Genomic DNA, 13,502 nt, shown 5'->3' with positions numbered 1-13,502 from the left:
GGAGGCTGACGCGGGCAGATCACTTGAGATTAGGAGTTCGAGACCAGCTTGGTCAATGTAGTGAAACCCCGTCTCTACTAAAAATACGAAAATTAGCCAGGCATGGTGGCAGGTGACTGTAGTCCCAGCTAATCGGGAGGCTGAGGCAGGAGAATCACTTGAACCCAGGAGGCAGAGGTTGCAGTGAACCGAGATGGTGCCACTGCACTCCAGCCTGGGTGGCAGAGCGAGACTTCATCTCAAAAATAAATAAATAAATAAATAAATAAATAAATAAATAAATAAACAAACAAATAAATAAATAAAGTTTGGCCGGGCACGGTGGCTCACGTCTGTAATCCCAGCACTTTAGGAGGCCAAAGCAGGCGGATCACCTCAGGTCAGGAGTTCCAAACCAGCCTGACCAACATGGAGAAACCCCGTCTCTAATAAAAATACAAAATTAGCCAGGCATGGTGGCACATGCCTGTAATCCCAGCTACTCTGGAGGCTGAGGCAGGAGAATCGCTTGAACCTGGGAGGCGGAGGTTGCAGTAAGCCGAGATCGTGCCATTGCACTCCAGCCTGGGCAACAAGAGTGAAACTCCATCTCAAAAAAAAAAAATTTAAATTTAAATAGTTAATCCAATATATCAGCTAGGTCCATGAGCAAAGGCCTGTGCCATGGGTGCCCTGCTGCCCTTCCCTTCCCACAGATGTGGGACAGTCTGGGACAGACTTGAATGCTTCCTCTGAAATGCCTTCCAAAACAGCTGCGCCCCTCTGTGGTTTTGGGGATGGGCTCTGCCAGTCCCCATAATCGGTCAGAGGGAAAAGAGAAACAAGCATCCCCACTCCCAGCCTTTTGGCTGAGCCTCACTGGCCATCAGCAGCCTAGGCTGGCCACCCTAACACAGCCACCTGGCCCCTTGCCCTCCCTCCTTGTGGCCAACAAGGGCTGGGTAGGGTGCTCTCTTCCTACTTAGGACTTCCTGTCTCAGAGTGTGGGATCTGAGATGTCATTTACAAGCTCAGTGGGAAAACAAATATTCCAGATAAAAATATTCCCATGACACTTGGCCTGCCCCTGCCGTCTTTCCTGTGGCTCTCTTGTTCCTGGTTGGGGTGGGGACTCTGCAGCCTGGCATGGGACATTTGGCAGTGAGGAGGCCATGAGGCAAGGTGGGTGAGAACACAGGCTCCCAACTCAGACAGCCTGGCTTGAATTCTGATACCACCACTTGACTTTGGCTGGGATCCTTTCACCTCTCCTCAATTTCTCCACCTGTAAAATAGGGATAATAGTACCTACCCCCACCCCCCCACCCCCGGGTGTTGAGAAGGTTAAATGAGACAGTAGGTGCTCAGTAACCCAAATGGCATCCTCCCTCCTCCTGCAGAGAGCCCCCGCTGCCCCAAGGAGAGCAGGCCTCACAGTGCCACCCACTCCACAAGAATGCAGAGCTCAGAACCTTTACATCGGGCTCCTGTTTGCAGGAACGGCTCCAGGCCTGGCTGACAAGGGCTGTGAGCCTCTCTGGCCTCCACCACCAGCCTTTCCTGGGAATCCCAGGCCGGGGTAGTGGAAGATTCTCAGAGCAGCCGAGGCGCCCTCCACACCAGCCCTGGTGTGCACTTTCTACAGCCATCATGCCAACACGTCCTGCAGCCTTCGCCCACCCAGAGTTCATTTCCTCCCATTTGGGGTAACTTCACCACCCCAGGTCACTGGACAGGACCGAAGGTCACCAAAGGTCATCCCGGAACACCGCAGGTCACCTTGGCTCTCAGTGCTTCATCCAGAAACCTGAGTCTACCCCCCATACCCGTCTACCGAGCCGCCAGGGCTTATGTTGTGCAAACGCTGCGCCCTCTGAGACAGGGGCTCAAATGTTCAACATACCCTTTAGGTGTTTGCGGAAAGGATGAGCTCAAAGACGCCTGCCTCTAGGTAAACGGAGCTGCCCTTGCACATGTGATGATAAGGAAAAGCAAACGAAGGCTGCCTTTGAACGGCCTTTTTGCTCCACCAGCTCCCAACCTAAAGCTGCCTTTGCAGTCGTGAACTGTGGGGGGATGGGGGCGTGGAGGTGGTGGGGGAAGGACAGTGGCCACTAGCACCCTGGCCCTTTGAGAAGGGTCCTGCCCACTTCGCCCTGCCAGGCCTCGGTTTCCCCCCTGCAAAAACAGGAAAGTTGATATTCATGCCACAGGCTTGCTCTGAATACAGACTAAAACAGACTATTTTCTTTTTATTTATCTTTTTTTGGGACGAGATCTCACTTTGTTGCCCAGGCTGGAGTACAGTGGTGCAATCATGGTTCATTGCAGCCTCAAACTCCTGGGCTCAAGCAATCTTCCTGCCTCGGCACCCCAAGTAGCTGGGACTACAGGCGCTTCCCACTACATCAAGTTTTTTTGTTTGTTCGTTTGTTTTTTAAGAGACAGAGTCTCTCTATGTTGCCCAGGCTGGTCTGGAACTCTCAGATTCAAGAGATCCTCCTACCTCAACCTCCCAAAGTGCTGAGGTTACAGGCATGAGCCACCACTCCTGGCGACAGACTATTTTCTAAAAGCCTCACACGTTACCCAACTAAATAGGGATGTTGAGGGTCAAGGTCCAGGGCTGGGGAGGTGGAACTCTGGAGTAGGGAGCACAGGGAACATAGGCAGGGAGGCCAGGCCAGGCACACTCAGAAGAGGCTGCTTCAAAATACACCAGCAGAGCATTTGCACCTTTAGCCTGAGTTCTGGCAACTTTAAAAGACAATTCCAGATTGTCTTACTTATCCATTCATTCATTCCATTCAGGAAGTACTTCCTGGGTGCCTAGGGCTGGCATTATTTTACATGCCAATGGCTAGGGATAAAATGACAAGTGATGGGTCAAGCTCCCTGCCTCACTGAGCTCAGAGCCAACAAGGGAGCTGAGCTGCACACCTACTGTGTTCAGGCTGCACTCTGCATGCCTCTGCTTAGATGTTAGATGGCTAGCTTGCTCAGCCCAGGCCCTGAGAGTGAGTGAACGCTCTCCCTGGGAAGATGAAATGAGAAGTAAGACGCTGTCATTTAACCACAAGAGAGAGCCCGTGGAGGTTTGGGATGCCCAGGAAGAGCTGGCACCTCTCACTTCGGTGGGAGCATCAGGAATCTGGGCCCATATCCCCTCCCGAGAGTCTGGCCTTATGTACATTTCCCAGAAATTCTCACTGTTTATACTGAGGGGCCTCCCCGGAGCAGAAGTCATTCAAATCCTGTTTTCAGCTGTAAGTCACTTCCTGCCTAGCTTAGGGCACAGGCATCTCAGAGCATTGAATGTATGGCCACGTGGCCACCCCAGAGATCCAAGCAAAACTGTCTGGTTGCCCAGCCTCAGCTGTTCCTGAAAGGCTTGAGTGTGCAATCCCGGTCCCCTGCTTTGGAGTTACACAAAGGGCCCTCCCGTAAGCCCTGAACAGCAGGCATGACTCAGGCCCAGACTTAGGGCTGGTTTCCACAGCCCATACCGGGGCCCTAATTTGGAGAAATCTGAGTGGACCTAGGCTGAAGATCCCCCCTGAGGAGGTCAGGAAGTGGCCAGGGGACCTTATATAAGCTGACCTCTCCCACCAGGCTGGGCAGGAGGCTAGGGTGAGTGTAGGGGCAGGAGGTAGAGGGAGGAAGATGAGGGGAGAAGGTGAACGGGCTAAGGTCTCCAGCGCTCCCTGGTGAGACCTCTCCAACTCCCGTTTCGGTAACCGCTTCTCTGGCAGGGGTTTCCGCAGGCCTGCCATCCTGACCAAAGGGGAAGAGCACGTCCACCTGGAATGGGAAGGCTCCCTCCTGCCCATCCCAGGGCCACAGAAATGTGGACCTGGAAGGGGTAAGAAGGCAGGCGCTAGCTCCATCTCCCACATCCCAATCATAGCATCTCAAATTATACATGTAGCATCATGGGGCTTGTTTAGAACATAAGGTAGTACTTCCTGGAGGGAAAGGCTTGAAATAAGCAACCCCAAATGAACAAGGCAAAGATGTAACAAGGGCCTGGAACCTGGCAGCCATGCTGACTCTGCGTGTGCCATGTCCTCCCTGGTGAGTGATTGGGCCAGGAGAAATGGGGGTCCTAGGCCTATGGGTCAGACACCCCAATGAGAAACTATTTTGGCTCCAAGGAGCCCCTAGCCACACAGCTCCAGAAACCTGGGAGACGCAGGGCAGCCCACGGTCACTCCGGCTTCATCCCAAGTCCTTGTGTATTCTGTGAATTGGGAGCCTGAAGGCACAAGAACCATGGGAGGGTATGCGTTTGACCAGAAGGTAGGAAGGAAGCAGCTTAGCCTACAACCCTTCTGGGGCACCTCCTGGGCCACCCTCTGCTTTACAGCTTAGACCTCTGGGGAAGGGGGTTGGGCACTCGGCGGAAATCATCACTCATTTGCATAGTGAAGTCTATGCCGTACCTAGGTCCCAAATCCAGGGGAAGGCAATGCACGGCAGAAACGGGGTTTGAATGACTTCTAGGAGCCCTTTGTGCCAAGTCGAGATGGCCTCATCCCCACAGCCCACATTCCTGGCAGGCTGGGTCAGGGATCCCTGGGCCAGAGATCTGAGATCAGCCTGGCCAGCAAGCCCCCAAGTAAAAGTTTATGCTGAACAGAGCACAGAAGCCGAGCTGTGTTCCCTTAGGTCAAGATTTTCACACTTGAACTCACGTTCCCTTTAAATAAAGTGGAAACTCCCCATCTCTGCCACTCTACACCAAGATTCAAATCCCCCCAGCATGACCGTGTGCTGAGGCTGTGTTTGCTTTAGGCCCTCACCCCGCTCAGGCTAGTTCAGTTTTGTGACTATCTAGCACCTCTCACCCCCATCCTACAGCCTGGGGTGGCTCGGGAGCCACCTGGTCTGAGGAATGGCTGGATTGGGAGGGACCATATCAAAATATTCCTGCGGGACTACTGTTAGTTCCTTAAGATACCATTAGAAGGCCACCCCATCCCACGAAGCTTCTCTCATCAACTTTACACTATGTCTGCAGTCTAACTAGGTGTGACTTCTCGGTTGGCATTCTGGCAATATGTACCCAGCATTTCAATGCACACGAGTCTCAGCCCAGACATTCACTCCTAGAAATTGTCCCTGCAGAAATACTTGCACAGCGCAAAGAGACACAGAGCGACAAGGACATCCGGCACAGCGTTATCAGTCTGCAAACTGAGTACAGCATTTAGCATGCACTTAGTATGTGCCAGGCAGGGTTTGAAGAGCTTTTTATCCTTATTAATAGCTCATTTAATCTTCACCCAAGAGGTAGGTCCTTGACCATGCCCGCTTTACAGATGAGGAAACTGAGGCACAGATCTACCCAGCAAGAAGCAGGCCTGGCATCTGCGCCAGGAGGCATCACCCTGCTGAACTGGATTCACAATCCTTCCATCCCCTTTGCCTGCTGGGAGGGCAGGGACACTGGAAAGTTCAGGATGTTGAACTGAGTTCTTGGCCACACGGATAACAGAGAACCCCAAAGGAAGCTGGGGTGTCATCTGCGCACAACCTCCCGATTGGAAAGTTAGCATTCTCCCTTCAGTTGTGAGAAGGCTCATAAGCCCCCCCCAAAACACACACACACACTTGTCCCAGGTTAGGGGCATCACCGTATCCTAGCCGCTCTCTGGTGTACACGGCTCAATGCAGAAATCACAGTTCGAGGTGACTCTCCGCAGAGGAGCTGGGTCTTGCAGCCTCTCAGTTTCCCTAACTCGGGAGAAAGTCTTGTGGCAGCTTCCATTCAAACTCTTCATCAAACACCCAGGGGGAGCATGCCATTCCAGACCCACTGCCACAGGAATCATGGTGGGACACCGCAAATCACAGCACAAAGATCATCAACATCAACCCCACAGTGAGGGCCACAGGGTGCCTGTGCACTACCAACCATGGGACCTCGGGGCCACGGGGCAGCAATAGTGAATCCTGCTGAGCCACAGGAGAGCAGACTGGCAGGCCCCGGTGCACCGGCCGTGGCCCACCGCTGGCTTGAAATCACTGATAGGTGGTAAAAATAAATTTTAAGAGGAGTCCCGAACTAGTAGCACGGGGAACCCTAAAGAGCCCTGCTCTCCACTGGATGGAGAGCTGACTCTTCCCAGGTCCCAGGAGGCAACACCGACTTTGCTGAGTCCCAAGCCTATCATGGGCTTTCCCACCCAGCCTGGGGCAAGAAGTGGAATACGCTTAGCCCAGGCAGTGGATGGAAGCAAACTCCCCCAAGGAAGGTGGTATTAGTCTCCCTGGCCATTCCCAGTTGGAGTTGATTTGTTCCTTTAAGAAGGGGAAGGATTCTCGAGCACTGGAGTTTTCAGGTCCCCTCCCAGTCTTGAAAGTTTACATCCCCAAGTCCCCTTTTCATTTGCTCAAAGAGTACATGTGGCTGGCAAGAAGTGCTCGAGAGGCTTCAGGCAGTCTTGGAGTGGATTCTGCAGGTGCCAAGCCTCCTCAAGACCCAGAGATCCTAAAGCCCAGTCTTCAGTCCTCAGAGTCAGAGGATAGAGATGGACAGGACTTCAGCCTCAGCCCTCCCGCAAAACAGAGTCATTTGCAAACTTTCAAGACTGGGAGGGGACCTGAAAACTCCAGTGCTCGAGAATCCTTCCCCTTCTTAAAGGAACAAATCAACTCCAACTGGGAATGGCCAGGGAGACTAATACCACCTTCCTTGGGGGAGTTTGCTTCCATCCATTGCCTGGGCTAAGCGTATTCCACTCCTTGCCCCAGGCTGGGTGGGAAAGCCCATGATAGGCTTGGGACTCAGCAAAGTCGGTGTTGCCTCCTGGGACCTGGGAAGAGCCAGCTCTCCATCCAGTGGAGAGCAGGGCTCTTTAGGGTTCCCTGTGCTACTAGTTCGGGACTCCTCTTAAAATTTATTTTTACTACCAAATCCTCCCCAACAGAGCTTCCATCCTCCACTTTTACAGATGCCTCAAGAGAGGTTTACAGAGGCCCAGAGACTTGCCCCAGCTCTGTATGGGAGCACTGAGATAGTGCCAATCTGGCCATCCAGGTCATTCTCCTCCTTCCACTGCCCCAAGGGAAGTGACCAGCTTGAGAAGGAGACATTAAGAGGACAAGTAGGCCCAGCACCGGGGCCCTGCCATGCCGGGTCCTGTAGCGTCATCTCTCTCCTGCCATCACTGGCAACAGATCAAATGTCAAAGGTCAAAAGGAAAAGGCTCCCTCAGGGCTAACCACTCAGATACTTCCTTTTCTTGCTTCAAACAGAGGACAAGATCCACCCTTTTTGACACAAACAAGATGACAAAGAGCTCAGGGAAGGTAGGGCAAGTCAAGGGCGGAGGAGAATTCTTCAAGCTATGACTTCTCCCCGAGAGAGACACCACTGTCCCAAAAACCTCATCCCACTGAGACAGTTGCTTCAGGGGCCACAGAACCAAGGGGTCCTCTGCCCAGTGAGCTCGGGTCTTCCCAGCCTCTTCTGTCTCCTGACAGCCTTGCTGCTCTCCCCTTTGGAAAAGCAAGATCCACAGTTCTGTCCAGTGGCGGGGAACAGGAATAACTCATTCTCCTCCTCAGACAACACACAGCTTGAGCCCCTGCACCTTTTGATCCAGGAAACAATCAATATGTATCTCATGGCGATGGAGCTGCTCCAGACAAAAGTGTGCATGTGCGTTATACGTGTGAGTGTGCGTGTGGCCATGGCGCGCTCTTGTGTGTTGGAATGAGAATGAGGCTGGGGCTGCAGTTTATGATAGCTCAGGGTTGCGCCTGCAGAAGTACCACACCCACCTAGTCCTCAATGATAGGACCCCCAGTCTCCACCACCTCTGCTCAAACAGCTCAGAGAGCGCAGAAGCGGACCTGGGCATGGGAGGTGCCGCCCTTCCCACTTCTGTCTCCACCATCCCCCACCATTGGCCTCCAGCAGGGATTCCTTGGGCTGAGTTCTGGCTAATTCATTGTAACCAAGAGCATTGGGGGAGGGTTGCCTAAGCATCAAGATTCCATTTCTCTTGAAATGTAGAGTTTCGGATGGGGGAGGTGCAGGACACAAGCCTGGAGCAATTTGGCAGCAGCTTTCCTCCAAATGGGCAAGCAGGAAGTTGCCTGAGGACCGTAGATAACCTGTGGTCTGAGAATCACCAAGACCCATGAAATCACAAACCATGGCGAATTGTGGTGAATCACAGTGAACTGCACTGCTGAGAACTGCATTTGGGCAAAAGAGGGCCGGGAAGCCTAAAGGGCGAGTCCATTGTGGCCAGTTACAGTACCACAGGATTACGGGTTTAGCGGACCGCGGGCAACTGGCGAACCACTCGCAATTGGCAAATCGCTGGCAATTAGCAAGCCATGGGCAACTGTGAGCCTCGGGCAACTGTAAGCCACGGGCAGCTGGTGAGCCACGGGCAGCTGGTGAGCCACAGGCAACTGGTGAGCCGCAGGCACCTGGTGAGTCGCGGGCAACTGGTGAGCCGCGGGCAACTGGTGAACCACAGGCAACTGGCAAGGCCCAGCCCAGTGAGCGAAGTCATTTCTCACAGATCCACAAACTCTTAGCAATTCCAGCCTGGGGTGTAAACAATGCCCCAGTTCCCAAGATGCCCAGCTGCCCACCCTCTACTTGGGGACGCGGAGGAGCTAGCAGTCTTGGGGTGAAGCTAAAGGTGTCAATCTCCTCAGAGACCCCAAAATTCAATAACTCAGACTCAGACCTAAAGCAGGTTTCATTCTCAGGGAAGATCAAGCCAGCTGCCAGGTGCATCTGCCGGCCTCCTCGGGTGAGAGTCATTTACATAACAAGCAGCGCCAGGTGGGGGTAGCCCCATCCCTGATGTTCAAGAGTGTTCAAGTTGGTTTTTTCCTTCTTTCTTTTCTTTTTTTTTCTTTATTTAGTCTTTTAAACTCTACCCTATCTTACTCTTCTTAAAAAACAGGGTGTTCAGGCCAAGGTGCGGTGGCTCACGCCTGTAATCCCAGCACTTTGGGAGGCCGAGGTGGGCGGATCACGAGGTCAGGAGATCGAGACCATCCTGGCTAACACGGTGAAACCCCGTCCCTACTAAAAATACAAAAAATTATCCAGGCATGGTGCCTGTAGTCCCAGCTACTCGGGAGGCTGAGGCAGGAGAATGGCATGAACCCAGGAGGTGGAGCTTGCAGTGAGCCGAGATCGTGCCACTGCACTGCAGCCTGGGCAACAGAGTGAGACTCCATTAAAAAAAAAAAAAACAGGGTGTCCCTAGGCAGGCTGTAAGGAACAGAATTTACAGAGTTCATCTTGGGGTGGCAGGGAGGATGGTTGTTGCTTTTCTTATCCTGCCTTATCCCACATGGGATGACCTCAGAGTGGACACAAGACATTAAGGAGCTACCCGAGCAGAGTTCACCTGGTTCACCTGTCCACCCCACACATGAAGAAAAGCTAGTGTAGTGTGGTCGCCCAAGCCCCAGCTGCAGATCAGGGATTTTGTGGTTCTGAAGGGGAATGGGTACCAAAATGCTTATACAATTCGTAGTGTTTTCAGTAACTATACCATGAAATTCATTCCATTTATTCAGTACAACAATGCTAGGAAATGGGTCTTCCGTTCTCCAGTTTTACAGAACACCAGACTGGCTGGCACCTCTCACTCACTGAGCAGGTCAGGGTTGCAAAAACCATCAAGGAAAAGAACTGGGGTCACAGGTGGGTTTTCGACGGGAGAACTGGGTCTTTGGGACCCTCAGAACGGTTTCCCTAAGCCAGGATGAAGGTCTGGGGCAATTCCTACTGCAGAATTTCAGCAAATACTCGAAAGGGTGCAAAAAGTTACCTGGGATTAGTGGTTGGCATTATTTCACACAGATACCCCGCAATGATAACCTGCGGATCTGAGAATCTCAGAGACGCATTAAGTTGCAAACCAGGGTGAAGTGTGGTGAATCACAGGGAATGATGGTGCAGGGAAGGGCCAGGAAGCCTAGCAGGTCAGGGCAGCTCAGATCCTTTGTAGCAAATTAAAGTGTATCAGAGAACCGCGGGCAAATGGCGAACCGCGGGCTACTGGCAAACCCAGTTCAGTGGTAGGACTATGTGCTCTCTTGTCCAAGGAGTAGTTAGCATCTTGGCATGAAGCTGCAGATGCCAAATCTCCTCAAATACCCCAAAATTCAATTCCTTGGCCCCCAGAGATGAAAAGAAGAGAGGACAGCAAGTCTCCCTCAGGGCGGAGGGGGCCAGGAGGGCGCTTTGCTAGCCCCAAAGCGGAGGCTTCAGGCAGAGAAAGACATTTGCAAAACAGTAAGAGGAGTGGGAAGCCTCATCTGAAATTCGGTGGGCTTTTTAGTATTCCTCTTCTTAAAGGAACATCCCCAGCAGGCTTTACAGAGCTGCTCAAAGGGTGAAATTTACCAAAGTCATCCCAGGGAAGGGTGGTTGTTGCTGTTCTAGTTCTCTCATCCCAGGTAGGAGAAGCACAGAGCGAACCCTGGACAGTTTGGTGTGGGTGAGGAAAGCCGTTCTGGTGACACCAGTCCCCTAGATCAGGGAACAGCCACACACCACTCCAAGGATCAGAGATGAATGAATGCCTGGCAATTCATGGTAAACTGAGGGCACAAACCACAGCCTGAGCCAGATGTGCTGGCTCACGCCTGTGATCCTAGCTACTCAAAAGGCTGACACAGAAGGATCCATTGAGGTCAGGAGTTCAAGGCCAGCCTGAGCAACAGTACAAGACCCCGTCTTGGGGGAAAAAAAAAAGCAGCAGCAAAACACAATCTGGCAGCAGTGGAGCAGGGAGAAAGAAGAACCCAGGGAATGTCATTGTACCCACCAGTTATGGTGTTCCAGACTGCGGGCCACTGGCGAACCATGCACCACTGGCGAACCACGCACCACTGGCGAACCACGCGCCACTGGCGAATCGTGGCAAGAGGAAAATAGCCTCTCACAGACCTGCAAAGTTTGTGATCCCCTATTTAGGATCTGGGGCATGAAATCCTCACTTCCTAATCACCTAGTAGCCAGTAGCCCAATCCAACTCCTGGGCTCAGCGCTGTTGGAGGTCTTGAGAACCCTGCAAATGTCAAATTACATCAAAAATGCGGAACTCGATTCTATAGTCCCTAGGGCCAAAAAAACAAAAGAGGAGTGTACTCTTCCCCAAGGAAGGAGTCCATTCTCATTCCACAGGGGTGCTTTGCCAGTTCCAGTGCTCAGGCCCCCAGCTGACAGAGCTATTTGTGAGACAGCAGGAGAGCAGAAGGTAATTCCTTGGGCTGTTGATCTTCTCCAACCCTGTGGGGCCTCTCTTCTTAAAGGAGCCAAGTGTCTCCAGACAGGCTCTCAGGGGTGGTTTGGGATTGAAATTTACCAAGTTCAAAGTGAGAGCAAGTACTAAGCATATTTATCTCGTTCTCGCCCGGGGCCTGAAGGGCAAAGCTCTTTGGGGTCGTGGAGGAACATTTCCCTAAGCATGGGCAAAGTCTTCCAGCAATCCCAAACCCCATCCCCAGCCAGTAAGCAAATGAATGAAACACAATGTAGCTTCTACGATATTGGCGCCAGCACTGTAAGGGGCACGGGGACCCTCCTGCAGTGAGCTGATGCAGAGAGTCAAGGCATATGGCAACTTGAGGTCACGGGGTACCAAAGCCCCTCCAGGCATGGGAACCAGGAGACCACAACACCGTTAATAGTGGTGGGAAGCAAGCGTGCCAGTGACCGGTGGGCCGAGCGAGCCTGGCACTCAGCGGCATGATGCAGGGCAAACCGCAACACCGCTGGTTGGGTCCCTGCTCTCCATCTCAGCAGCCTTAGGGTGACCCTAAAGCCTGACTCCAAAGTCCCCAGGGTTGCACTTAAGAAGGGGTTGGGGCTGGGCAGGCCTCCCGTCGTGATCACCTACCTTCTCAACCCCACCACCTTTGGACATTTTCAAGCTAGCATGACCAGGTTAGAGTGGTGGAAAATGAATTCTGCTTTGTTTCTCTTCGTCTTTTTTTTTTTTTTTTCCTGAGACGGAGTTTTGCTCTTGTTGCACAGGCTAAAGTGCAATAGCGTGATCTCAGCTCACTGCAACCTCTGCCTCCTGGGTTCAAGTGATTCTCCTGTCTCAGCCTCCCAAGTAGCTGGGATTATAGGCGTGCACCACCACGCCCAGCTAATTTTGTATTTTTAGTAGAGACGGGGTTTCTCCATGTTGGTCAGGCTGGTCTCGAACGCCCAACCTCAGGTGATCTGCCCCCCTGGGCTTCCCAAAGTGCTGGGATTACAAGCATGAGCCACCACAGCCGATCTTCTCTTCTTTTATTATTATTTTTTTTATTTTTGAGACAGAGTCTCGCTCTGTCACTCAGGCTGGAGTGCAGTGGCGCCATCTCAGCTCACTGCGGCCTCCTCCTCCCAGGTTCGAGAGATTCTTTTGCCTCACCTCCCAAGTAGCTGGGATTACAAGTGCCCACCACCATGTCCAGCCAGTTTTTGTATTTTTTGGTAGAGATGGGGTTTCACCATTTAGCCAGGCTGGTCTCAAACTCCTGACCTCAGGTGATCCACCTGCCTCGGCCTCCTGAAGTGCTGGGATCACAGGCGTGAGCCACCGCGCCCAGACTAATTTTTGTATTTTTGCAGAAACGGGGTTCCGCCATATTGGCCAAGCTGGTCTTGAACTCTTGACCTCCAGGTGATCTACCCGCCTCAGCCTCCCAAAGTGCTAGGATTACAGGCATGAGCCACCGCTCCCGGCCAGTGCTTCTCTCCTTAAAGCAACAGCCAGGAGCCGCTCCTCAGACCAAACACCACCACCCCCAGGGCAGTTTGCTTCCATTCGCTTCCTGCTGAGCCAGCACCACCCCTGCCCCAGGCGGGGAGAGGAGCTCAGAGGATTGGATAGCTCAGGCTGGGAGCTGGGCCAGCTCATCACTGTCTCCTGGGGGCTGGGGAGACCTCCACCCAACTCCACTGTGAGGAGGGCTCTTCAGGGACCCCCAGGCTGCCAGATCGCTGCCAACTCTTTAATTCGCTGAGATCTCAGAGGCGATTGACCTTGACCTGACATTTATTTCGCCGCATCCTCACATGAATCCCTGGAGGTGTATTTTTGTTATTCTCCAATATTATAGGTGCCTAACTAGAAAAGCGGCCGGGTGCAGTGGCTCACACCTGTAATCCCAGCACTTTGGGAGGCCGAGGCAGGAGGATCACCCGAGGTCAGGAGTTTGAGACCAGACTGGCCAACATGGTGAAACCCTGTCTCTACTAAAAATACAAAAAATAGGCGTGTGGTGGCACATGCCTATAATCCCAGCTACTCCAGAGGCTGAAGCAGGAGAATCACTTGAACCTGCGAGGCGAAGATTGCAGTCAACGGAGATCGCACCACTGCACTCCAGCCTGGGTGACAGAGCGAGACTCAGTCTCAAAAAAGAAAAGAAAAGAAAAGTGAAGTCACTTGACTTTTTCCACTGGCAGCGCTAAGGTTAGATCCCAGTCCTGTAACAGTCCCAGGCCTCTGTGTGCTGCTGAAAAGGCAACTTTC

General features: G+C 52.6%; 1 non-coding gene across 1 annotated transcript, besides 3 other annotated features; it reads right to left on the bottom strand.

The window, feature by feature from the left end:
* Positions 3,726-4,226: an enhancer, noted in NCBI's record as "H3K27ac hESC enhancer chr14:101281498-101281998 (GRCh37/hg19 assembly coordinates)". NCBI's record gives its function as "activates a minimal SCP1, AML or CMV promoter by ChIP-STARR-seq in naive H9 embryonic stem cells {active_cell/tissue: H9 hESC(naive)}" and the evidence as "EXISTENCE:reporter gene assay evidence [ECO:0000049][PMID:30033119]".
* MIR2392 (microRNA 2392) lies at positions 4,813-4,896 on the bottom strand. The gene has a single exon (NR_039729.1). It is a non-coding gene; the product is annotated as a microRNA 2392 (primary transcript).
* Positions 9,615-10,183: an enhancer, noted in NCBI's record as "H3K27ac hESC enhancer chr14:101275541-101276109 (GRCh37/hg19 assembly coordinates)". NCBI's record gives its function as "activates a minimal SCP1, AML or CMV promoter by ChIP-STARR-seq in primed H9 embryonic stem cells {active_cell/tissue: H9 hESC(primed)}" and the evidence as "EXISTENCE:reporter gene assay evidence [ECO:0000049][PMID:30033119]".
* Positions 12,271-13,186: an enhancer, noted in NCBI's record as "H3K4me1 hESC enhancer chr14:101272538-101273453 (GRCh37/hg19 assembly coordinates)". NCBI's record gives its function as "activates a minimal SCP1, AML or CMV promoter by ChIP-STARR-seq in primed H9 embryonic stem cells {active_cell/tissue: H9 hESC(primed)}" and the evidence as "EXISTENCE:reporter gene assay evidence [ECO:0000049][PMID:30033119]".

This window comes from Homo sapiens, chromosome 14, assembly GCF_000001405.40.
Source record: "Homo sapiens chromosome 14, GRCh38.p14 Primary Assembly".
Lineage (NCBI taxonomy): Eukaryota > Metazoa > Chordata > Mammalia > Primates > Hominidae > Homo > Homo sapiens.
Note: the sequence above shows the minus strand (reverse complement) of the source record. Positions and strands in the feature narration are given on the sequence as shown.